The sequence below is a fragment of the Homo sapiens genome, chromosome 10 (assembly GCF_000001405.40).
Source record: "Homo sapiens chromosome 10, GRCh38.p14 Primary Assembly".
Taxonomy (NCBI): Eukaryota; Metazoa; Chordata; class Mammalia; order Primates; family Hominidae; genus Homo; species Homo sapiens.
Window position 1 is genome coordinate 112447721 of NC_000010.11, and position 25815 is coordinate 112473535.

At 39.1% G+C, this 25815-nt stretch overlaps 1 protein-coding gene across 11 annotated transcripts in view, besides 1 other annotated feature; it reads left to right on the top strand.

The window, feature by feature from the left end:
* Positions 1 to 25815, top strand: part of VTI1A (vesicle transport through interaction with t-SNAREs 1A) — a 408381-nt gene that overhangs the window by 733 nt on the left and 381833 nt on the right. For 8 of the 11 annotated variants that reach the window (NM_001365713.1, NM_001365711.1, NM_001365712.1 and 5 more), the window contains exons 2-3: positions 12804 to 12862; positions 16827 to 16937. In NM_001365713.1, the coding sequence (NP_001352642.1) occupies positions 12804 to 12862; positions 16827 to 16937 (170 nt within the window). Of the gene's footprint in view, positions 1 to 59; positions 64 to 661; positions 770 to 1161; positions 3007 to 12803; positions 12863 to 16826; positions 16938 to 25815 lie in introns of those variants that run through there. The other 3 variants (NR_134521.2, NR_134522.2, NR_134523.1) reach the window with 3 other exon arrangements.
* Positions 13290 to 13584: an enhancer, noted in NCBI's record as "tiled region #13267; HepG2 Activating non-DNase unmatched - State 15:Elon, and K562 Activating DNase matched - State 11:FaireW". NCBI's record gives its function as "activates a minimal TATA promoter and a strong SV40 promoter by Sharpr-MPRA in HepG2 and K562 cells {active_cell/tissue: HepG2 | K562}" and the evidence as "EXISTENCE:reporter gene assay evidence [ECO:0000049][PMID:27701403]".

Consider the following 25815-nt stretch of genomic DNA (forward strand, 5'->3'; position numbering starts at 1 on the left):
AACCTGGAAACGTTTCTTAACGTCTTAAGAGTCTTAATGTTTTCATTTGTAAATTATAGACATGTGAGTATTCAAAGAAAATGAATGAAAGTATGTAGCCTATGGATCTACAATCTACAGCGGCGTTGTTGTGTTAGTAATAATATTGTTATAATTATATGCGGCAAAATAGAGGTAAGAATCAGGGTGCCTAGATTCAAATCCTACCTCTGTCACTTAGAAGTTGTGCCTCTTAACCCGGGAGGCGGAGGTTGCAGTGAGCCAAGATCTCGCCATTGCACTCCAGCCTAGGCAACAAGAGTGAAACTCCGTCTCAAATAAATAAATAAAATAAAAGTTGTGCCTCTTAAACAGACTTCTTAGTCTCTTTCAACTTTCCTTCTTAGTAAATGGGGGAAAATTGTACTTCTCTCATGGGGTTGTTAGGTAGATTAAATTTATATAACATATTTAAAGTCACTTTTGGTGTTGTTAGTTGCTGTATTAGCATTAGTATTTTTCATACCCCCCACCCCCATTTCTTGTTTCTCATCCTTCTTGGGGATTTATTGTATAACCCAGTTTCATGTAAAACTTGGTACAAGATAATTTTTCACACTTAAAAATTTCACATCTCCCATCTGGAAATGTTTTTGTTTTTGTGTTTCCTTTTGTGTTTTAGCACATCTTATTTTCTATGCTAGACTGTCAACTATGTGAAGGTGGGAGCTGTGTCTGATTTCCTTGGCGTTTACTTATTAGGGGCTCAGGAAAATAAGTGAATGAGCAGGTGAATATAAATATGATCTTTTGTAACTATGGTTTGTACAATGTTGATTCGGGGACTATCTTTCTCTACAGATTAGAGTAGTTAGTTACAGAAAAGGGTTTTACATTTTTGTTTAGTTTTGTTAGGGAAATTGAACCATCATCTGGCTGCTAGACTTGTCCCTACCCTAGCTCCAGGATATAAAGTGTAGAAAGGTGGATGTGCTCATTAATCTGCGGATTGGTGGGCACTTCACTTGCCCACTTGTCCTGGTACTAGCAATAATTTCTCCCGGACCTAAGTTGTCATTCCTCTTTCCCTTTCCCTACTTCCCCCAAAACTTATGTGTTTATAAGTAATTTTCTTCCCTTATTTCTTTGTTTTTCTTCCCCTCACCTATTTTCTGTTAATAGGGATATTTGCTTGAAGCCAGGATCTCTGAACTTATACCCCACTCATCTCCTGAAGTCCCCAGTTAGTTCTGGAGGAGATGGATGATGTCTTAAAGAGGTTTATGAGTCCAAGTAAGGGAACAAGAGGAGAGAACCAAGGTAGTATATACCACCAAGCTCTGCTGCCTCAGAGATTTTTGTGTCGAAAGTGGCTGATGGCCTCATCTCTTCATGATACATCACCTCGCCTCTTCTCTTCAGTTCTGCTTTTCTCCACTGCCGGAGATCGTCTTGATTTTTGTTATTGTTGGAGACTACTTCCTTTGAATTGAGTCCCAGAGCCTCAGAGTATCAGGACTTGTGGTTCCAGTTAGAGTTTTACTCATTTTTAATTGTAATTGTTTTAGCAGTAGAAACATTTCTTTGGGTTATTAGTTTTTGTATTGGGAAGCTGTTTTACAAGGTAACAAAATCATCCTTGGATGCAAAGTTGTAAATTTCCAAGAAAACAGATCGTGTTACAATTTTTTTCTTGCCTTTATATTTTAATGTGACAATTCTTAACACATAGAAGGAAACTTTTTGAATTCAGTACCTTAAAAATAAAACTGGGCAGAGCCCGGTGGCTCATGCCTATAATCCCAAAACTTTGGGAGGCCGAGGCAGACGGATCACCTGAGGTCGGGAGTTTGAGACCAGCCTGGCCAACATGGAGAAACCCTGTCTCTACTAAAAATACAAAACTAGCTGGGCGTGGTGGCACATGCCTGTAACTCCAGCTGCTCAGGAGGCTGAGGCAGGAGAATCGCTTGAACCTGGGAGGTGGAGGTTGCGATGAGCTGAGATTGCGCCATTGCACTCCAGCCTGGGCGACAAGAGCGAAACTGTCTCAATAAATAAATAAATTAAAAAAAAACTATGTCTTTCCTTAGCTGTAGTATTATATAAGGCCCAAACACAGGAGCTTCATTACAATTGAAAGGAGACTGCATTGCTGGCTCTGGAAGAATGCTTACTGACTTGTATTATTGAATAATCATAATTCTTTTTTCTTTATGAGATGGGGTCTTGCTGTATCGCCCACGTTGGAGTGTAATGGCGCAATCTCAGCTCATTGCAACCTCTCCCTCACGGCTCAAGTCTACTCCCACCTCAGCCTCCCGAGTAGCTGGGACTACTCAAGCCACTGTGCCCGGCTGATTTTTTTTTTTTGTAGAGATGGGGTTTTGCCATGTTGCCCAGGCTTGTCTCAAACTCCTGGGCTCACGCAATCCACCCACTTGGGCCTCCCAAAGTGCTGGGATTACAGGCGTGAGCCACCGCACCTGGCCTGATCATAATTCTTAAAAACGCAGTAGTTGCCCTCTTAATAATGACTTGTGCTTGCCCCTTTTTAAATCTATTTCCAATTGATGTATAGAAAAAGATGAAAAATATATCCATGTAGTTATGAATTTCAGATGTATGTCTGTAGATGAACAGACATTAATATATATAACCATGGCAAAAATAGTTTGATGACAAGTAATTATAATCTCTCTCTCTGGCCATCATTGGCGAGTGCAGTGTTGAGCTAAAAGTGACCCAGAGGAGGTGAACTATAATTTACTTGAGTTAAGAAGGATAAAAATTGGAGCAAACTTTCCAGCCAAAGCAGTTAATTCCCCCAACATAGTAACTTACTTAAATTCAAGTAGAGTGGGTAGATCTATTGAAATGAACTTTACTCTGCTGTGCATGTTACAATGTATTAAAGTATTGCTTCCAAAGAGAACAGAAGAGTGAACATTTAAAAATTTTATTTTAAGAAAGAAATCTGATTACTCTGTGATATTTTTTAAACAATAAAGAGATTTTGCTCTTAAAGTGTTTGAATCTTAACTAATTTTAGTAATTGAACTGAGATGGGTGAGTTCTTTCTTAATACCCTATGGCACTATATTTGAACATTGTTTTTTTAATTATTATGGTTCTGTGGGAAAGTAAGGAAAAGGGATGAGCAGAAACTATACAGTTAGTACTTTATTGTGAAGTTCCTTTTCCTCTAGTGATGGGAGTGAATTCTTAAGTGGGGAATGTTTTCCTCTGGTGCAAAGATTCTGTTACACGAAATAGGCTTCCTGAAGAATTTTAAAGTAGTCTTTTTGCAATTAGTTGCTTACTTTACCATTCACAGAGAGGGAATGATCTGTTGTGAATCCTGTCACTTTATGGCTGTCCTCAGAATTGTACCAAGAAAGTATTACAGCAAAATGATTCAGATTCAGACATGACATCAGATCTGTTTAGAACCCTAGTTCTGCTACTTACTAGATGTGCAGTCATGGACAATTGCTTGGCCTTTCTAGGCCTGTCTCCTCCATCGGTAGAATGGGGGTGAGAGAGTAATAATTTCAACCTTATAATGTAAAAATCAGTGAAATAAAACATGTAACACACTAGCACCCTTCTTACACAGAGAAAACACGTGATATACTAGCCATTAATGATATTACTGCTGCTGCTGAAGACAACAGTTGGTAAGATTAGCTAGGACCCCGCTCTTCAGACTTTGTCATGTTAATTGAACTCTTAAATCTTACACTTCAATTCTTGCTTCCTTTCTGTTCCTAGACTAGAATTAGGTAAATTTCTCTTGATGAACACATTTGAAAGGAGGTAAGTGATTAGGGCCTTTTGGATATGAATTTGGAACTGGGCTTTGAACTCAGGATCCCAAGGGGGGCAGTCGGAGGAGAGAAGTGAAAGTGGTGTCGGACAAGGCAGGTGTCCTTTCTGGAAGGAAATGCCTGAGTCTAGTGGATTGGTTATGCCAAGCCCTGGAGGATTGTCTAGACCATCTAGACTTAGCCACGTGTAGATGAAGGCATAAACATACTTCTGTGATTCTCTCTTGCCTTTGCAAGGTGGTTGCAGTGAGATAATTCAGAAAAGTTGGCTTTTGTTCATGAATATTGTGGTTTGCTTAAAATATATTTGGCTTTAGAGCTGTAATATCTACGTGTAGCTATTGAGCACCTGAAATGTGGCTGTTGCTACATTGTGAAATGATAATATTTTAGATATATGCAATTACGTATTATTGAAATTAAAAACATTATTAAAACTAATTTCACTTGTTTCTCTTAAAAGTTTTTTATTTTTGAAAACTTTAAAAAATACTGCTACAAGAAAATTTAAAATTGCATGTGTGACTTGCATTATATTTCTGTTGCTCTAGAGGGTTACAGTTGAAGGGATGGTTCCAGTCCTGATTCAGGAACTCACTGCTACAATAGTTTGTTCCTTGTTAGGATTCAGGCTACCTCAAAATCTGCTTCATGAGCTGCTGGGCAAGGTCCAGCTTTTTCAATTGAGCATACAGGGAAGATAGTCTTTAGCAGTTACTGATGGCCCAGTTATGTCTCATAAAAAATTTAAGCATTTAGGGCCGGGCGCGGTGGCTCACACTGTAATCTCAGCACTTTGGGAGGCCAAGGCGGGCAGATCACGAGCTCAGGAAATCGAGACCATCCTGGCCAACATGGAGAAACCCCGTCTCTACTAGAAATACAAAAATTAGCTGGGTGTAGTGGCACGTGCCTCTAATCCTAGCTACTCAGGAGGCTGAGGCAGGAGAATTACTTGAACCAGGGAGTCAGAGGTTGCAGTGAGCCAAGATTGCGCCACTGCACTCCAGCCTAGTGACACAGTGAGACTCTGTCTCAAAAAAAAAAAAAAAAATTAAGCTTTTATGGGGTTGTATTCATCTTTGAATAATATACATTCATATAAACAATTGTGTGTGTGTATGCATCTATAGATCTATATATCTGTATGTTGTCTATATATTGGTCAATTTAGTCAACCTAAGTAATGGCTTCAGTCTTTTGTTTTTGTTTTTTTTTTTTAAATAAACTTTTTATTTTAGAACAGTCTGAAATTTACAGAAAAATCACAAAGATAGTACGGAGAATCCCATATACCCCATGCCCAGTTTTCTCTGTGATTAACATCATGTTAATATGGTACATTTGTTACAGCTAGTGAGCCCATATTGATACATTATTATTAACTAAAGGTCATACTTTATTCAGATTTCGTTTTGTTCTGTTTGTTCTTTTTACCTAATGTCCTTTAACTATTCCAGGATCCAATCTGGGACACTGTAAAACATTTAGTACTCATGGATTTTTAGGCCCCTCATGGCTATGACAGTTTCTCAAACTGTCCTTGTTTCTGATGACTTTACAGTTTAGAAGAGTACTGGTCAGATATTTTCTAGAAGGTTCCCTCAACTGGGATTTGCTCAATGTTTTTCTCATGATTAGATTGGAGTTCTGGGTTTTGGGGAGGAGGACCACAGAAGTAAAGCATCATTTTCACCACATACCAAGAATACATACTGTCAACATGACTTATCACTACTGATGTTAACCTTTATCACGTGGCTGAGGTAGTGTTTGCCAGGTTTCTCCACTGTAAAGTTACTGTTTCCCTCCCTTTTCCATACTATTTGGAAGAAAATCATATATGCATAGCCTATACTTAAGGAGTGGAGAGTTACACTCTACCTCCTTGAAGCCAAGTAATTACGTGAATTATTTGTAATTCTTTTATGTAAGAGAGATTTATCTATTCATTTATTTACTTATTCAGTCATTTACATCAGTATGGACTCATAGATACCTATTTTATCCTTTGTGTTATATTCCAATACTACTTTATTTTCATGTTGCTCAAATTGTTTTAGCGTTGACCATTGGGAGCCTTTTTTTTAATTTGGCTTCTGTGTCCTTTTGGTATACCCCCATCATTTTGGCTTTTTTCTTTTCTTTTTTTTAAGGACTATATTGCTTTCTGATAGTATAAGATACTCCAGGATCATCTTCTCTATTTCCTGTTTCAGTGCTAGAATCAGCCCTTTCTCTGAGGAATCCTGTTTCCTTTAATTAAAGAAGGGTATTAGAAACCAAGATCTGGACAGTAGGTGTGCACATTACTCCCGGGGTGTTGTTGCCTCTGGAACCTCTCAGCTGACAAAGCAAGGAAATTCACATGTATATACTAAGCCATGTATATGAACATATCTACAAGCATTTGCATATGTAATCATTTGTATATATAGTATGTTAAACACAAGTTCATACTAGTATCTCCAGCTCTAATCCATTATCAGATGGATCATTCTGTAATTGCTTTATTTCAACACTGACCATTCTATACCATGTTACACAGGGTAGCATCAGTAATATACCCATTTAAAAATTATCTGTTCCTCTCTTAGTGGTTTGACCCTACATTTCTAAGTACATACATAATTTCTGCTGCTAGTTTTATTTTAACATATCTACATTGCACAAAGACAGGTACAAGTAACTGAATTCAAGTGAGCCTTGACACTTTAATGAGGGTGTTCTGTGCTGATTAAGCACTTCTGTAAATATCAAGAATTATACTATGCAAAGACTTGTTTGTACGTCAGCACTAAGAACTTCTATTGAGTAGGAAATGAGAGGCCAAGATGGGAGGATCACTTGAGCCCAGGAGCTCAAGATCAGCCTGGGCAACATAGTGAAGCCCCATCTCTACAAAATAAAATTGAATTTAAAACTAGCTGGGCATAGTGGCACGCACCTGTCATCCCAGCTACTCAGGAGGCTGAGATGGGAGGACACCTTGAACCCAGGAGTTTGAGGTTACAGTGAGCTATGATCATGCCACTGCACTCTAGCCTGGGTGACAGAGCGAGATCTTGTCTCTAAATGAAAAAGAAAACTAATTAAAAATGTATTGAGTAGGAAAGAAAAGATCATACATACTATGCTAAGACTTATGTGTATGTACATCAGCACTTATCAAGCTTATAGACCAAAAAAAAAAAAAAAAGTGGGAGACTGTTTATATATTAAATAGTATATTTTATATAATACATATAGCAGTTACGAGCTCAGTTCAGGACAACAGACCCACCCCATTAGAGTTCCAACTCTGCTATTTATTAGTTGTTGAACTTTCAGGAAATAATTTAGTATCTCTGATCTTATTTAATGGCTTGAGAAAGGGATAGTAATAATACCTCAAAAAGGTTGTTTTAAGGATTGACTATAACAATGTTAAACACAGAGCACCATGTACATTAATGATAGCCCTTAGTTACAAAGGTCTGAATCCTAGGTACATGTTGTTTGAAAGGGGATGTCATTTGGGGTGGGCAGAATGAATCTCTTTTGGGAATTACATGTAAATGTTGCCAGGTTACCAAAACTTCGTGTTGGTAGGTATTTCCAAGGTCATCTAGTTCAGTTCCCTCCCCTTCCCTCCTCCCCTCCTCCCCTCCCCTCCTCCCCTCACCTCCCCCCTCCCCTCCCCTCCCCCCTCCCCTCACCTCCCCTCCCCTCCTCCCCTCCCCTCCCCTCCCCTCCCCTCCCCTCCTCCCCTCCCCTCCCCCTCCCCTCCCCTCCTCCACTCCCCTCCGCTCCTCCTTCCCTCCTTCCCCCCTTCCCCCTTCCCCCTTCCCCCTTCCCTTCTTCCCTTCTTCCCTCCTTCCCTCCTTCCCCCCTTTCCCCCTTCCCCCCTTCCCCCTTCCCTTCTTCCCTCCTTCCCTCCTTCCCTCCTTCCCTCCTTCCCTCCTTCCTTCCTCCCTCCCTCCCTCCTTCTCTCCTTCCTTTGTTCCTTTCCTTCCTTTGTTCCTTCCCTTCACTTCCCTTTCCTTCCTTCCTTCCTTCTCTGCTCCCTCCCTTCCTCCCGCCCTCCTTCTCACCTTGCTTTGTTCTTTCCCTCCTTCCTTTGTTCCTTCCCTCCTTCTCCCCTCCCTCCCTTCCTCCCTTCCTTCCTTCCTTCCTTCCTTCCTCATACTTTACCCCTAAATCATCACTTTTGAGATTTGCCTTCTTAAAAACATGAGGAACACTATAAGGACCAATCAAAGAATGTCTCAGTTCCATCATTATTTCTGACAGCACCATCACAAAATGAATTTTATGAAAAGAAAATGATCTAATTGTGTTAACTCCACCTCTATTCCAATTTAATTATTTTTTTCGTGAAGGGAAATTTGTCATTTCAAATGGGAAGATTTGCCCCAGTCCTCACTAAAATGAGCTGTTTTTCCCCCTCAGTTTCTCTGTGAGTAATAAGTATGTTGCTGCGTGCTAAGACTGACTCATTTATTCTGTAAGCACTTAGTGGCCCCTACCATGTACAGCTCTCTATGCTAAATACAGAGTTTGGACACGATTTGTCAAGAGTAGTCTCTGCCTTCAAGGAGCCGGCAATGAGCCTGAAGAGGAAACTGCAGGCCAGGTGCAGTGGCTCACACCTGTAATCCCAGCACTTTGGGAGGCCGAGGCAGGTGGATCACTTGAGGTCAGGAGTTTGAGATGACCCTGACCAACATGGTGAAACCTCATTCTACTAATATAATACAAAAATTAGCTGTGTGTGGTGGCGCATGCCTGTAGTCCTAGCTACTCGGGAGGCTGCAGCAGGAGAACCACTTGAACCTGGGAGGTGGAGGTTGCCGTGAGCCAAGATTGCACCACTGCACTCCAGGCTGGGTGACAAAGTGAGAGTCCATCTCAAAAAAAAAAAAAAAAAAAAGAGGAAACTGTAGAACCTAATTTTTAATGACCGTTGTACCCCCTAGAGCCGAGCATAGAACTCTAGGAATTCAAAGGAAATGAGGTATGTCTCAGGACCTCGCCTAGAAGGATAGGTGGGGTTTGGACAGACAGAAACAAGCAAAGACTATATTATAAGAGGTTGCAATAAATGGATGCAGTGGGCATCTGTTGCACCCAGCAGCTTTCATTCTATCTACTCAATTTCCTATTGAGGAACTACTTAAACCCCCTTATTCCAGTCTTGATAGAACTGACAGGCTGCCCTGCCCTCTGTAGGTCAAGAGGTGAACATATTACCTAAGCAAGGACATTTATAGAATTTTTGCCAGGAATTTGATCAGAATGAACCAAGGAAAGAGAATAGTTAGAGCCGCTCAAGACTTTGCTTTAGCAGAGACTGTAAGTTCCTATTTCCTTGGTATCCTGAGCTACTCCTCATACTTGTCTTTCCCAAGCTGGGTGGCTCATTTTTGTCCATTGATCCTATGAGCCACCCCACATTATTCTAACAAATTATCTTTTTTGAATTAGTTTAGCCAGAATCACTTCTGTCGCATTCAGCCAAAGAACCCTAAATGGTAGCTTAACAAAGATTTAGAGAAGAAAAAAACAAGATTTGTTTGGGTAGCAATGAACAGTCTGTCTGTAGACTGCATACTAGAAACCTTGTAGTTGGAAATAAAGTTGGAAAGGATGCTCGGCTCTGAAATGTCGAGGACCTTAACTGCTAAGCTCAACTGACCCACCAAAGCCAAATTTTAGGAAGATTAAATGGGAGAGGGGGCAGGGAGACCAAGGTGGTTAGTAGCATAGCTTCTTTTGCAAATTCTTGCTGTGTCCTGCATTATGTATTTAACTTACTTTCATTTTTTGAAAACTGATTGTGTATGCCAAGCTCAGTATAGTGTAGGACTATAAAGATGACTGAGACATGGTTCTTGTCTTCCCAGAGCCTCTAAGTTGAAAGGTTGTTCATGTGAGGGATAAATCATTAGGATTACATAAGAGTTATAGATATTTTATGTACAAGGGGGTGATTAACTCTTATGTTGGGTTAGGAAAGCCTTCAAAGAAGTGATGATTTCTGAAGAGAGTTTTGAATAGAGGTTTGCCAGGTGGGCCTGGTGGAGATGGGCATTGGGATTAAAGGATTGAAGGCCTGGAAATATATCAGCGTTAGAGATAAAGATTTAGGATCATAAATACATAATATGATAGTTTTAAAATGGATGAAATTGCCCAGGGACATAGACGATAGTCATAAGAAAGGCAAGGACTGAACTCCAAGGAACATCAGCAGTTGAAAGATGGCCTGAAAAATACAATGCCTAACAGAGGACCGTGAGACAGGAGTGAGCCTTCAGGAGAATGACCAGATCAGGGTGCCATGGGAGCCAGTAGAGGAGAAAGTTACAGGACGGGAGGAGCAAAGTGTAAGAAACCACAAGATTAAATAAAAACAGGACCTAAGAATGTCTATTAGTTTGGGCAAAGGAAGGGTTATTAATCTAGTGAGAGTAATTTCAGTGGAATGGTGGGGGCAGGAGTTAGTTTACAGGGAGTGGATGGGAAGATGAGGAAGGGAAACAGAGTCTGTACCCTTGCTTTCAAGAAAATTGACTGGTGATGAAAGGAGAGGAATATTAGCAAAGGGGAATACAGGTCAAGGGAGGCTTCTTTCTTTGTTTTATTTTGCTAATGAGAAAAACTGATGCTTATTAGTCCTGGAGGTCCACGGCATGGACTTTCCTATCAACTGAATACCTTAAAGAGAACAGGATGTTCCTCCTGATACGTAAATACACCATCTCAGTTTTGATCCAAGATAAGCCTGTCTTATTTTGTATTTTTCTCTATCACAAAAATGTAGTCTATTCTAACTGTAACTGTGTGAAGATACTAAAAGGGTTGAAATGTCCCAGAAGCAAATACATTTGGGATCATCTATTAAATATTTAATCTGGCCATATGTAGATTTAACTTTTCAAGGAGGGAAAATCAAGTTGAATTGTAATCCCAAAGGCTTATTTTTCTTAGGGAGAAATATTGTGAGTACACATAAAACACCTTATGTGACAACTGTTCCCCCTCTGTAGTTTGGGGATAACAAAGGGAAAGGGTTAAGATTAGTAGAATCTACTAATAATCTAATCATTGTTTTAGTGAAATAATTATATATATATTTTTATTTTTATTTTTATTTTTATTTTTATTTTTTTTGAGACAGAGTCCCGCACTGTTGCCCAGGCTGGAACGCAATGGTGCGATCTCGGCTCACTGCAACCTCTACCTCCCGGGTTCAAGCAATTCTCCTGCCTCAGCCTCCCAAGTAGTTGGGATTACAGGCGCCCACCACCACACCCAGCTAATTTTTTGTATTTTTAGTAGAGACGGGGTTTCACTATGTTTGCCAGGGTGGTCTCAAACTTCTGACCCTGTGATCCACCCATCTAGGCCTCCCAAAGTGCTGAGGTTACAGGCGTGAGCCACCGCGCCCGGCCAGTGAAATAATAATTTCTATTAAAGCTTCCCCACTTAGGATTGGCTGTCCTTCTGAAGGCTGGTCAGCTGGTAGGTGTTGTACCCATTTCAAGCTTCATGACTTTTCTAGTCTGTTGTGTTAGTCAGTCTCATTAGGCTCCCATGTGACATAAACCCAGTTTTAAATAAAGAACAAGAAAGTTGTTGGCTCAAGAAACCAAACTATGGTAAAGTCAAGCTTTTATAAAGTCAAGCCATTTCAGTTATTTCAAGCCAGGAACTAACTATATCTCTCTCTCTCTGTCTCTCAGTTGTGTTTCTTTTTAAATGCAGGTTTTATTTTCAGCCATTGCACGCTTGCTTTCTTCTTGGAGCTAGACCAATGGATGCTAGCAGCGCTTCTAGGCTCATTTTTTCGTTACCAGGAGAAAGGAAAAGGCTTTCCCCTTGCTCTAGAACTTTGTTCTCTCTGGTTCATATATGCCTATCCCACCGCCCAACTCCCAGATGAATGTGGCCAGAGGATTGAGTTACTGAGATTAGTCCAGCTAGGATTAGATGCCGGTCATTTGCCAAGTCACTGTGACTGAAGAAGCAGAGTCTTTATGGAGATAGCATTTTCATTGTCCTGCTTGGTGAGGAAGAAGGCCTTTGAAGAGAGTAGGGGCTGTTGCCTGAGAAGAGAAGCATGCTAGGCAGACAAAAACTAGAGATGTTCAATACATCTGGTTTGCACAAAACTTAACTAGGGTATGTGAACAAATAGGCTGACTGGCTGGAATGAGGGTATGGGAAAGCTTTCTGAAATTGTCTGCCAGGACATGTCTCTCCTAGAGAAGGGAATTACAGTTGGGTTATAACTTGATTGTATTAGAAAAATAAACCACATACAGAGACTTAGCACTTTATAATATTAAAGTAATTTCACTTGCATCAAGCTTATTGGAGCTAAAAGTAATCCCGTAGATATTTTTTATTTCCATTTTAGAGAGTACAGAGTGAGTCTCAGAAAAAAAGAGAAAAATTTCTTGCCCAGGATCCCATAACCATTGAGTGAGATAGTAGCTTTCGGTTTGGAATCAGTAGTCCTAACTTCAAATATTTATTCCATTACACCTGATTCTCCATGCTACTGAAAGTACAATTTTTTAAAGGATTGTTTTTGCCCAGTTTTAGGAAGTGTTTTTGTATATAACTTTTAAATTGTATTAACAAATCAGTTATTCCCAATTTATTAAAGTTATGACTTCACAGATTCCTTAGGCCAGCACAAATCTGCTCTTGTTGACTTAGTCTCTCCTAAAGGGCAACATAATTTTTAGTCTCTCTTAAAAATAGGTCTCTCTTAAAAATGGTGTCTCTTAATAATTAGGTATTCTATCAGATTATATGTTTCTAGATAGCCTGGAATCAATGGCTTAAAGTGGTTTCAAACCCACCAAAGAATGATATGCTCTTTTGCCTTATGTTCTGTAATCTGATTGACCAGAAAGGAAAAAGGCATATAAAAATTGAAGTTTTAAAATATTAAATTTATTTGTATCTTTAGCAATTTCTTGGTATTATTGTTTGTTTCAGATGAAAAGAAACAGATGGTTGCAAATGTGGAGAAACAGCTTGAAGAAGCGAAAGAACTGGTATGTACAGACAGTAATGTATTTTAACACACAGCCAGAGCCGTTTAAGCTAATGTCTTCCTCTAGCCTGTTTTATACATTGTGGAAATGTGAAGCATTGCTGATTAGCATTTTATAATTCAGAATTTGTCAATTTTTAAATTGAAGAGATTTTAGTAGCTTCTTGGGATTTTATTCTTCTTAGCAAAGGTGATTCATTAAATATCTATCTCTAATTTTTATTCCATCATAATACGTTTCATAACAGCTGTAAATAGCTAATGCTGGATAAAGGCATACTGGGTACCAGACACTGGATTAAAAATACTACTTGCTTTATAATATTTAATTTTCTCAATAACCATGTGAGACAATATTATTTGTCAAAAATGATAAAGGGTCTGATATTTTCTGCTATTTGCAAACTCTCAAGTGACTCACTTGCTTGCTACAGTTTCATAGATGACTATGTCTCATGTCTTCTCTAAGACATGAGACTCCTAGGTCAGAGACAAAAGATTTTTATTACCCACAACAATAGCAGTTGCCTGTGTTTCAGGCTGGTTGCATCAGTTCCTGAGTCTGAATTCCCACAGTGGTGATGCAGGCAGGCCTAGATGTATGCTTACAACAGCATTAGAATACCTTAGAGGAATAGAACGAGAGCCTAGAAAATGTGCCACTTTCTAGCAGCCTATAAGCAAGGCTGTTGTTTGTCCCAGGGGGACACATTATTTCCTCTCCCTGAGCTCCCCGCAAACCCAATCCTGAAAAATGGCTCAGACAGAGTCCTCAGGACCTTGTATTCTTGGCAGACCAGGCAAGACATGTAGCAGCATGAGAGAACCTTGGCCAAGTGATTCTCAACACTGTTACCACTCCCATTTTGTGGATGGGGAGACTGAGACTTAGAAAGATGAAGTAACTTGTTGGAGGTCCCAAATCCTGTTAAGTGATAGAGTAAATATTTGTTCCTAGTTTGCTAAACTCAGAGCTCTGGTTCATCTACTACTTTTTTATATAAATACATCAGTAAAACATGGAGCAAAAAAGGACTAAAAGTATTGTGTCTTAATTTGGGGTTTTAAAAGCTAACTACTACAAGCATGACTCAACTTGTTACTATGCATTGTGGCCCTATGAGTGTGTTGCTTTTCTATTTTATTTTATTTTTGATATAAAGTCTCACTCTGTCACCCAGACTGGAGTACAGTGGCACAATCTCGGCTCACTGCAACCTCTGCCTCTTGGGCTCAAGCGATTCTCATGCCTCAGTGCTCCAAGTAGCTGGGATTACAGAGCAATACCACACTTGGCTACTTTGTTTGTTTGTTTGTAGAGAGGGGGTTTTGTCATGTTAGCCAGGCTGGTCTTGAACTCGTGCCCTCAAGTGATCTGCCCGCCTTGGCCTCCCAGAGTGCTGGGATTACAGGCATGCACCACCATGCCTGGCTAATTTTGTATTTTCAGTAGAGACAGGGTTTCACCATGTTAGTCAGGCTGGTCTTGAACTCCTGACCGCAGGTGATCCACCCACCTTGGCCTCCCAAAGTGCTGGGATTACAGGCCTGAGCCACTGTGCGCAGCCGATACTGCCCTTTTGATGAGGACCTTGGGAGAAAAACTCTTTTGATTTGACTATTGGGATTAATTGTGTTTCTGCTGACCATCTGATTTGTATTAGTCTCTTGGACACTACACATCTTGCAATGATCTTTTCTCCCACTCTGCACTGGCCACATAAATGTTGTGACAACATGGAACAAGTGCACATTAGCCTCATTCTTGGTTTCATTTTAAGTGCTTGTTGTGTGTTTCCTTTTTCTGTCTTACCTACTTTTAATTTAGTTTTAAATATCCATATAAAATATCTTCAACAAAAATATACTTAAGGCTCAGATTTTGGCTTGCAAGTATTTTTGCTGTTATTTTTCCAGATGATCCTGTTTACCTTGTTAGAACTAAATAATTGATGATCTCAGAGAGTTATTTTAAATAATTTTCTTGCTAAGTAATGATTTTATTTATTGGTGCTTCTCATTTATGTTGAGACATAATCATTTAAACTATCACTGTTTAAATCAAGGCTAATTAAAATTATCTTTTTTCTTTATAATAAATTGAAGCCTATTAATTGAAAGGTGATTGTGTGGTTTATCTGTATGCTACTGTAGTTATTCAGTCGCTAACACTGAATACAGGTTTTATTAGTGATAAGCTGGTAGGGTTCCGGAAGGAACTTATTAGAAAGCTTTAAAAGGTAAACTACATGGCAGCATTTTTGCATGTGATTTTAGCAGACATGGCCTGGGCCAATTTGTTGTTGTTACTGGTTTTTATTTATTTATTTATTTATTTATTTATTTATTTATTTATTTATTGAGACGGAGTCTCGCTCCATCGCCCAGGCTGGAGTGCAGTGGCACGATCTCGGCTCACTGCAACCTCTACCTCCCCAGTTCAAGCAATTCTCCTGTCTCAGCCTCCCGAGTAGCTGGGACTACAGGCACCCGCCACCACACCCAGCTAATGTTTGTATTTTTAGTAGAGACGGGATTTCACCTTGTTGGTCAGGCTAGTCTCAAACTCCTGACCTCAGGTGATCTACCTGCCTCGGCCTCCCGAAGTGCTGGGATTACAGGGGTGAGCCACTGCGCCTGGCCTGGTTTTTATTTTTTAATGGCAACTACAAGTAAGCCACTTCTGCTATCTTGTATAGTGCTTGCTGTATCTTCTTCATCACTTGCAATCATCGTTACTAGAGTTAATTTTAATCTAGCAATTATCAAGTAAGAGACACTGTTCTAAGTACATTATAAGAATTGCCTCATTTAGTTTTCACAGCTGCTCTGTGAAAAAGACACTATTTTGTAAGTGAGAAAACTAAGGCACAGAGACATTAAGAAACCTGTTCCAGATTCCAGGACTAATAAGTAGTAGAGCCTATGATGTCAACGTAAGAGTCTGGCTTCAAAGCCTATGCCTAAACCATTATAGTATTTCTGCATTGCTGCTGATTAAACTCTTCTGTGTTGTATCCAAAGTGTTATCTGATAGCAGGTTGTTAAAAAAAAAAAAAGCGCCTTGCTGTGATTTCATTAAGCTATATGTAATTTAGCATATTACTGTATCCATTTAATGCCATATAAATGTGGTTATAAAGTATCGGGAGTTAGGATGAAGGTAAAGATCACATGTTGGTTGGTATGTGATTTTCCTAATTACAAAACACCTGCCAGAATAAATATCACCAAATAAGGCTTGGCTGATGTTTCATGGATTACCCATGGGAAATAATAGCTTACTTTATCTTCCCATAGTTGTGGAGGTTAATGGTCAGAAGACAAGACCCGGTTGGATTGAATGATGGGCTATTCCAAGTATATTGAAATCAAATTATTAATAACGTTTGGGTTAATGTGTATCTTTTATTTTGTTTTATTTTATTTTTGAGATGGAGTCTTGCTCTCTCACCTAGACTGGAAGGAGTGCAGTGGTGCAATCTCAGCTCACTGCAACCTCTGCCTCCCAGGTTCAAGCTATTCTCCTGCCTCAGCCTTCTGAGTAGCTGGGATTACAGGTGCCCACCACCACGCCCAGCTAATTTGGTATTTTTGGTAGAGATGGGGTTTCGCCATGTTGCCCAAGCTGTTCTCAAACTCCTGACCTCAAGTGATCCACCCACCTTGGCCTCCCAAAGTGTTGGGATGATGGGCGTGAGCCACGGCGCCTGGCCAAATGTATATGTTTTAACAAAGCATGTACTTGAGCACAGTGTGTGTCACTTGGCAAGTACTCAGAATTGTTGAACTAAAGAAAAATTAAGTGTAAAAGTAGTTTCAGTGTTATTTGATCATTCAGCACCCTGAACCTGGTGCCTCAACTACAAAATGAGGAACTGGAATTAGATCCTTTCAGCCGTAAACATTTGTTCAAATAAGAATAACAGTGTGTTTTAAATCACATTTTTCTTTCCCTCTTCTAGCTTGAACAGATGGATTTGGAAGTCCGAGAGATACCACCCCAAAGTCGAGGGATGTACAGCAACAGAATGAGAAGCTACAAACAAGAAATGGGAAAACTCGAAACAGATTTTGTGAGTCAAATTCGACCCTTTGTCATATTTACTTTTTTTTAAAAATGTTTCCTCCTCATGCCTCAGTCAGCATTAAATGCACAGTCTTTTGGGCTCATGTAGAAGACAAGTAACAGCTTTCATTCTTTATGAGTTAGGGATCTAAAAAATGGTTATAGAGATAGCTAATGGTGGAATTTAAGGTATGTTGGATTAATGATTCACAAATAGATCCAAATCATGCGGCCCTTTGAGTCTGAATGGTATTTACTGATACTTAACATTTATTAAAATTTTGAAACTCAGTTTCTGGCCTTTCAGGGTTTGGAGCCTTTAAGAGGCAGCCTGTACATTTGCAGCTTCTGGACTTCAGGGGCTCATAGTCTCCTGAAAGCATATCTGTATTTTTGGATGCATGTTTCCATGTGTATTTTTCCCTGGGATAAACTCCATAGACTTTATTAGATTCTTAATAGGATGTATCATACCCTTCCCCCAAAAGATAAAAGAAACCACTTTCAATTGACAGTTTATATGTGATCCTTTTTATTAATTGCCCATGAGAATATGTAGCTGTCTCTTCCTATATATCTGGCTTTCAACCGTATCTGCTTTATAGCAAATTTAAGAATATAAATGTAAAGACATAATGTTAAAGTTGTTAGTAATTAGAAATTAATAGGAGTAGAAAAGATACAGCTGAGTAATTCCACTCCTGAGTATATGTCCAAAAACAAATTGAAAGCAGAGTCTCAGAGAGAGATCTGCACATCCATATTCATAGCAGCATTTTCACAATAGCAGAGAGGTGGAATCAACCTAAGCATCCATTGTTAAATAAATGGATACACAAAATGTGGTATATCCACACAATGGAATATTATTCAGCCTTAAAAAAGAAAGGAAATTCTGTCACATGCAACAACTTGAATGAACCTCGAAGACATTATGCTATGTGAAATAAGTCACTCACAAAGACAAATACTACATAATTCCACTGATATGAGGTATCTAGAGTAGTCAGATTCATAGAAACAGAAAGTAGAATGGTAGTTACCGGGGACTTGAGGGGAGGGAGAAATGGAGAGTTGTTTCATGGGCAAAGAGTTTCAGTTTTGCCAGACTGAAACTTACAAAAATTTCTGGAGATTGGTTACTCAACAATGTGAATATATTTAACACCACTGAACCATACACTTAAAAATGGTTAAAATGGTAAATTTTATATTATGTGATTTTACCGCAATTAAAAATAAAAAGATACAGATAAAAAGTATTTTAAAAACCCTGCTAATGATAAAAGAACAAAGAAGTTAACACAATAACAACTAACTGTTCTTATAGGCTGGCACAGGAAATTAGGTTTTCAGCAAATTAATGAAATTTCATATGACTCACTTTAAAAAATAAAAAGATACAGGCGAGGAAAGATCTGAGCCTTACCTATGAGCAACAGAAGTCATGTGTTGGGTGATAAATCAGCTGTATTTCTGAATCTGGGGCCCAAATTCACAAGGAAAGTCAAGAATGTTTAAGGATCTTTCCGCCTCAGTTCTTGCCTTAGGTGTTTTGCTTTTGGAGGGTACAGCTTCTAGGCTACCGTATACCTTTCCACTGTAAGACCAACATCAATGGACCTGGTAGAAATCCCTCCTAGAGTCTGAAAATAGGGTGATTTGCAGTTATGCATGCTTGTTTTGTATGTGAATGGCTACTATCTTGATAAGTTGAGGTGGATCACATCAATAACTCTGATGCCTTTTAGACTGGGCTCCTATTAATTAAAAAAAATTAAAACTCATTATGGGCCCAAATTGATAAAATAAATATATATGCCTAAGTATGTGCCCTGTACTAGGGTAACATTTTCTCCAACTGCTTTGTGAAAGGCTAGTTTTTCTCAGTAAAAATATGAAATATAGTGAGAAAATTGGATTAAGAACTTGACAACTCAAATTTATACTGAGAAAATTCTACCTGAAGTTAAAGTTTCAATATAAATGATGAAAGCAAAATAACATGTTTATAAAGATTGTTTTAGCTTGCTTACCTCATTTTTAATGGAACTCTTTTCTGAAGATTTTTCTTATGGGTTCTAGAAAAACAAAGGGTATGAATTTGCTAGGGCTGTGACAACAAAGTACCACAGACTGGGTGGCTTAAACAACAGAAATTTGTTTTCTCACAATTCTGGAAACTGAAGTTGGAGTTCAAGGTGTTGGCAGGTGTGGTTCCTTTTGAGGCCTCTCTCCTTGATCTTTAGATGGCTTCTCCCCATGTCTTCATATGTCTTCCCTCTTCACGTTTCCATGTCCCTATTTCCTCATATAAGACATCAGTCGTATTGAATTAAGGCCCACACGAATGACATCATTGTAATGTAATCACCTCTTTGAAGACCCTATCTCTGGACAGTCACATTCTCAGTATGGGAATCAAGACTTCAGCATATGAATTTAGAAGAGACACAATTCAGTTCATAATGTTTAGGTCAGTTTTAATCTTTTATTCTTAATTTTTTTTTCAGAAATTAAATTATTTCTGTGGCTTATAAGTCAGCTAACCCAACCTTTAGTCTTTTTTGTTTCTCAAAGAGTACAATACTGGGCAAAGTCCTTTAGGTATTTGGAAATTGTATACTTGGATAAGTGTTCCTTTCTGGGCTATATTTTCTATTATAAAGAAAAATGGAACCAACAACTATGAAACTAAAAATTTATTCTCTAGGCCAGGGATGTCCAATTTTTTAGCTTACCTGGGCCACATTGGAAGAAGAATTGTCTTGGGCTACACATAAAATATCCTAACACTGATGATAGCTGATGAGCTAAAAAAAAAAATAGCAAAAAACCTCATAATATTTTAGGAAAGTTTATTAATTTGTGTTGGGCTGCAAAAAGCCATCCTGGGCTGCCTGCAGCCTGCTGGCCATGGGTTGGACTAGCTTGATATAGGCTATCATTAACAATTCATGTATTTATATGTATATTTGCTACCACAGCTTTCTTCTACCATGTTAGGAAACATCTTTCACCACCACTACTTCTATTGAATAGGGATTTACAGTTTGTAAATTACTTTAACATACATTATTTCATTTCATTGTGTGAAGAATAGACAGAGCAGGTATGGATTACTATCCTCATTTACACATGATAGAACAAAGAGGCTTAGATTAATTATAGATTTCATTCAACAAGAGTTTCTTGAGTACTATGGTGTGTCAGGCACTGTCCGAGGTGCTAGAATGCAGCAGTGGTGAACAAGATAAAGTTCTACTTGTCATATAGTTTAAATTATAGTGGGGGAAAAAATCTAGTGGGAAAGACAACAAACAAATACATACACATTATAATTTCAGGTAGAGATACATTATGTAAAGTGAATAAATGAATAGAGAGTGACCAGCAGGGTGATTGTGGCCATTTGTGCTTGGGTGTTCTCTACAGTTGAAGAGAGAGGAAGAAACGTGTGTGTGCTTGCAGAGAAAGCAGAGGAAAGATCTGTGAGGGCATTGTAGGCCGTGGTAAAGACCTTGGCTTTTACTCTGGGTTGCAGAAAGGCCACCGGAGGACTTTGAGAAGTGAACGGTCCTTCGACTCCTGTTTTACAGCTTTGTTCATTTTACCACACCATCTCACATGGTATATTTGAATAGAGTGTAGAAAATATTGACATAACTCCCTTGTTTTAATCATTATTTCTTTTATAGATCTAATCTTTTTTTTAAATGAATGGAGAATATTTAAAGATATTTGATAACTTTCGTATGCTGACATGCCATACCTAGAAATACTGAATTTCAAGAAAGGCTAGCAGAGATGGTTCTTCAGCTCTGTGTTTATTGCAGTTGAAGCCGTTCTTCTGTTCCACTTGTAATAGCAAGACTTCAGGGGAGCATTTATGCCCATGGGGAGGGGCAGAGGACAACTCAATACTGTTTTCTTTGACTCGTTTGTCCACTTGCTTTCTTTCCCCAGCCGTTCCTTCTCCTCTGCCTACCCTTTGGATGCCTGGATCCTTCAGGCTTCCTCAGTACTTACTCCCATAACCTCCTCTGTGTGTTATCATCTTTCCTGTTCCTTCCATGGCTGCGTCTATACTGACTGGTATTTGTAGCCCAGACCTCTTGGTAGTTCTGGGTTTATATTTCTTACTATTTATCCCAGAGTCTTTTAAACACACTCAGATTCAACAAGTACTGGTTACTTCAGAGTTATCGTTAATTTTTCAACCTTGTACATCCACTGGGTCACTGAGAATTAGCAGATCTACCACCTAAATATCTCTACTACTGAAAGCCTTCATGGTTTCTCTATCTGGATAATTGTAGTACTATTTCCTGATTCTGTTCTTCTGTCATTCAAAACCCTGTACACCATTCCATAATTAGCTTTTGAATACACTGATCTGTATATGTCATGCCATTACACAAAATCCCAGAGTCCTCATTGCCTGCTGAATAAAATCCAGGTCAATTTCTAGGTATTCTATCTTGTTCCATTGCTTCTTCACGTGTCTAATAATTTTATTATAGTATACTTGCTGTTATGGCCTCTATGTTGTTATAAAGCCTAGATTTTATTGTTATTTTTTAGAACAGCACAGCTCAACCTTTTTTTTCATTATCACTTCTCCAAGGATACTTTTTAGACATGTTTTTCCTAATCGTCCCACTCCTTCCCCTATTAAATTTTAATACCACTGATATTCTGTATCTGTACATCTGTTCATGTACTATGGCTCCTTGGAGGGCCACACATCTTTGTAATATCTTAAGATTCATCATACTCCCAAGAACTAATTTTTGCCTCTGTGGACATGATATTGCTCCTGTTGACAATGCATGCTTTAGACCATGAGAGGCTTTATTCAGACAGTTAGATAATTTACTGGCAAATCAGATTGGTCCTTTCAGAGTTTATTGTTAGACTTTTTAGAACACATTTTGAGTAGCCCTACTTTTATGATTTGGCCTTTCTTGGGTTCCTTTTGAATGACTGTAGTGTTTAATAAGTGCTCTCTCGCCTATGTTTGTTTGGAATTCCATCTCTCTGCCCTGGGCAACCTCTAAAATATCCATTCAATCCATTACTCCCCAGTAGCTGTTCTCTGTGAGACCTCGTGGGGTCCCATCCTCTACATATGCAAGTTCATTTTCAGCCAAAGACTTAGGGGACCACTTTCTCGATTTCTGGAGCTCCTTCTCTTTGTGGCTGCTTCTCACCATTACCCTGCTATGTTTGATGATGCATCCCAGCAGTCCTAACTCCAGTGTCTGCCTCCTAAGTTCAGTGACTTGCTGCACTCCCTGTGGGCTCCCCCTCCGTGTGCTGCAATTGGGAAAGTGCCTCCAGGCTGAGAGCCATGCGGGGCTCATTTCACATGTTTTTCTTCTTTAAGGAATTACGCTCCTCCACTGCTTGTTGTCCAACTTTGGAAAATAATTGATTCATCCATTTTGTCCGTGTTCACAGTTGTGTAGAACAGGAGGGTTTGTCTTGTACCAATTACCCCACCATGGCAGGAAGTGAAAGTTCAGTGTAGATTTAATGTTTCTTAATTCCTTAACAGATAATTTTATATATCAGAGAATGAAAAATAATAGTCTGCTGTTTACTGTTGAAACTTTCCCTCTCAAGGGTTGAGTCGAAGTATGCTAAAATGAATTGACACTGGACAGATTAATGGGAAAAACCAAACAAAATGTATTGTGTGCGTAAGTACAGGGGCCACACGCAAAGTAAGAGACTCAAAGTAGGGCCACATAACTGAAGCTTTTATACTGTAGTGCAGAAAAGCATAGAGATTTGGAGTGTGGGAACAGGTTTTCAGAGCAAGAACGGAGGAAGGCAAGCAAAGGTTGTCTTGGCTCTGCTGTTGGAGCCTGGCAGGCAGCAGCCCCCTGGAAGAATGGATGGGAGCCTGTGGAAAAGCTTCCTCTGTTACCTTTAAAAGTGCTGGGTGCGGTGGTTCATGCCTGTAATCCCAGCACTTTGGGAGGCCGAGGCAGGCGGATCACTTGAAGTCAGGAGTTCACATACCAATGTTCACATACCAGCCTGGCCAACATGGTGAAACCCCATCTCTACTAAAATTGCAAAAATTAGCCGGGCATGGTGGCGCACACTTGTAATCCCAGCTACTTGGGAGGCCGAGGCCTCCCTTGAACCCAGGAGGCCGAAGTTGCAGTGAGCTGAGATCGCACCACTAAACTCCAGCCTGGGCAACAGAGCGAGAGACTCAGTGTCAAAAAATAAAATAAAATAAAAAAGCATCAGACTTTCAGTCTCCCTTTCCTGTGAGTTCATCTTTCCAAGATCTGGGTAAAGCCAATACGGGTCAGGGTGGGGGCGCTCAGAGAAAGCCTGTTTTGCATTTGCTGTTTACTTAACTAATATTGATTTCCTCTACAAATGCAAATCTCCAGCTTTTCAGAGCCATTTTTGTGTTTGTAGCCCTTCTGAATAGCTATCTCAAAAATACACCAAAGAAGTATATTTTGGGGTGGCATATTTTGGTTTTCTTCATTACGGTGGCTTATCATAGAATATAATTTGTAGCTGACTAAATACCTGTTTAAAGGATTTTAAAATTCATGCGGTAATTTGCAGTCAGCATCGTGTGTGTGGGAGGGTGTTAAGGAAAGTTAGGGGTCATACTTACGTGCCCATTTATACTGTTACCATTCCTGATTATTCTGTTCACTTACCTAATTTCATTCTTATTGATTTTTTTTTTTTTTTTTTTTTGCTTCTTACAGCCTATAATTGTTCATTTTTGGCTTCTTGTGTAGCCTCAAAGGAAGTTAGGAATATTAGGTTCAGAAGAGGTCAAATCTAATCACCTTATGTTTTAGATGAAGAAATGGAGGACTGAGGAGACCAAATGACTTAAAGTCACACTGCTTTCTGGAGCCAGAATCAGAATCGAGTAACTAAGCACCCGTTTTAATGTTCTCTTCACAATCCTTTGCAACCTGCCCGCCTTTGAGTTTCCATAAAAATGTATTTAATAGTCTGTTTAGGTATTTGAAAACAACTTTTAAAAAAAAAATTAGAATTCCTGTAAGCTGTTCTTGTAATTTCTTCCTTCAACATTGATATGAGGTTAGCTAGGGCCTTCTCATGTCAGAATGTTCCAGGAAAATGAACCAGCCAAGAGGAAAAAAAAAAATGTAGTTAAGGAATTTTTCAAGTTTAAGATTAGTTTGCTTCTTAAGAAAATTAAAGCAAATTTTAAAACCCTAAATTTATACAAACAAAAAACCCTCCAAAATTGTATAAAATGTTTGACCAAGTCTCAGTAAATAGAAAAAGAAAGAAACAAGTAAGTGGTGTGCTGGTATAAGGTTCTAAAGGTTATGAGGACATGGTGTGTTGAATGCTTTTTCACGTCTCTGATATTGTGCTATGATGCTAGCACCATCTTGTGGTTGATTTATATAGTTGCATATTTCTTTTTTCTTGTAACAAAGCTGAACTTCCTTTAAGACATACACAGAAGGATTTGGGGTGAATGATTAGATCGTAATGAATGTTAAAAAGAGAGCTTTCTAGCCCCAGTCTCAAGTTCACTTCTATCCCAGGTCAGTGGTGCCCGAATGCTGCCTTTTCCTGTTTGGCAGGCTATGTGATGTGATTGTTAGACCAGCTCCTAGTGCAGAGCTGTCTACATCAGAGAATGGCACTTCTATTGACAGTCTCAGCAGTGAGGCTGAATGGTCCTAGAAATCCAACTACCTGCAGACTATCGGAGTTGGTCCCTTAGGTCAGGGTTCAAAGGATGTTGTGGAACAGCTTGAAGCTTTTACTGATACTACCTGTACTCTCTCTTTTCATAGGTGAATGGACAACTTGAGTATCTGAGTTTATGAGTAAAGCCAGTACCCATATTCTTTTTTTTTTTTTTTTAACTCGAGATAGACTAAAGAAGTTCAAATGAGAAAGGTGAATTTAAATTTTGATTTTTGTTGAAAGGTCAAGAACGTATGCTTCTGTTTACATTTTATCTTTTCTGTACTTACAGCTTCCTGGGATATTTTACTTCTATTTCTGTGGAAGCTATGGGAAACCATGAAAACATGTTTTAGAGGTTTGGATAGTCTCAGTGGTAATATGTGGTAACTGTAGCATCAGCTAATCCTTCTTACAGGACCATAAGTGCATTCTAAAAAGAAATGAGAAAGGCTAGACAGAGCCACCTCAGAAAAGAAAATTTTCTTTACTGTGTACACTTAATGAATATGCCTGCTACTTTAAAAAATTACATTTGTTGTTTGATTCTGTGTAAATATAATACCTGGTCGTTATAGAATATTCTGAAAATGAAGAAGAGTAAAAAAGAAAAAAAAAATCACCAGTAGCCCTATTTTTGATTTTGGTTTGTTTTTTCCAATCTTCTCTCCCCTTCTCCCTTGCATAATTTATTGTTTCATTTTACATAACAATGAGGTCATTTGATCCACTTTTTTTTTTTTTTTTTTCTTTTTGAGACAGAGTCTTGCTCTGTTGCCAGGCTGGAGTGCAGTGGCATGATCTCAGCTCATTGCAACCTCCACCTCCTGGTTTTAAGAGATTCTCCTGCCTCAGCCTCCCGAGTAGCTAGGACTACCGGAGCGCGCCACCATGTCCAGCTAATTTTTGTATTTTTAGTAGAGACGGGGTTTCACCATGTGGTTGGCCAGGATGGTCTTGATCTCTTGACCTCGTGATCCACCCACCTTGGCCTCCCAAAGTGCTAGGATTACAGGTGTGAGCCACTGCGCCCGTCCCACATTTTTTTTTAAATAAAAGATTGTAACATTAGTATTTTCCATTTCTATATATTCTTGATCATTTTAATGTGTGCATAATATTTCCTTGAGTGATGTTAGCTAACCTTTTGTTGAATCCTAATA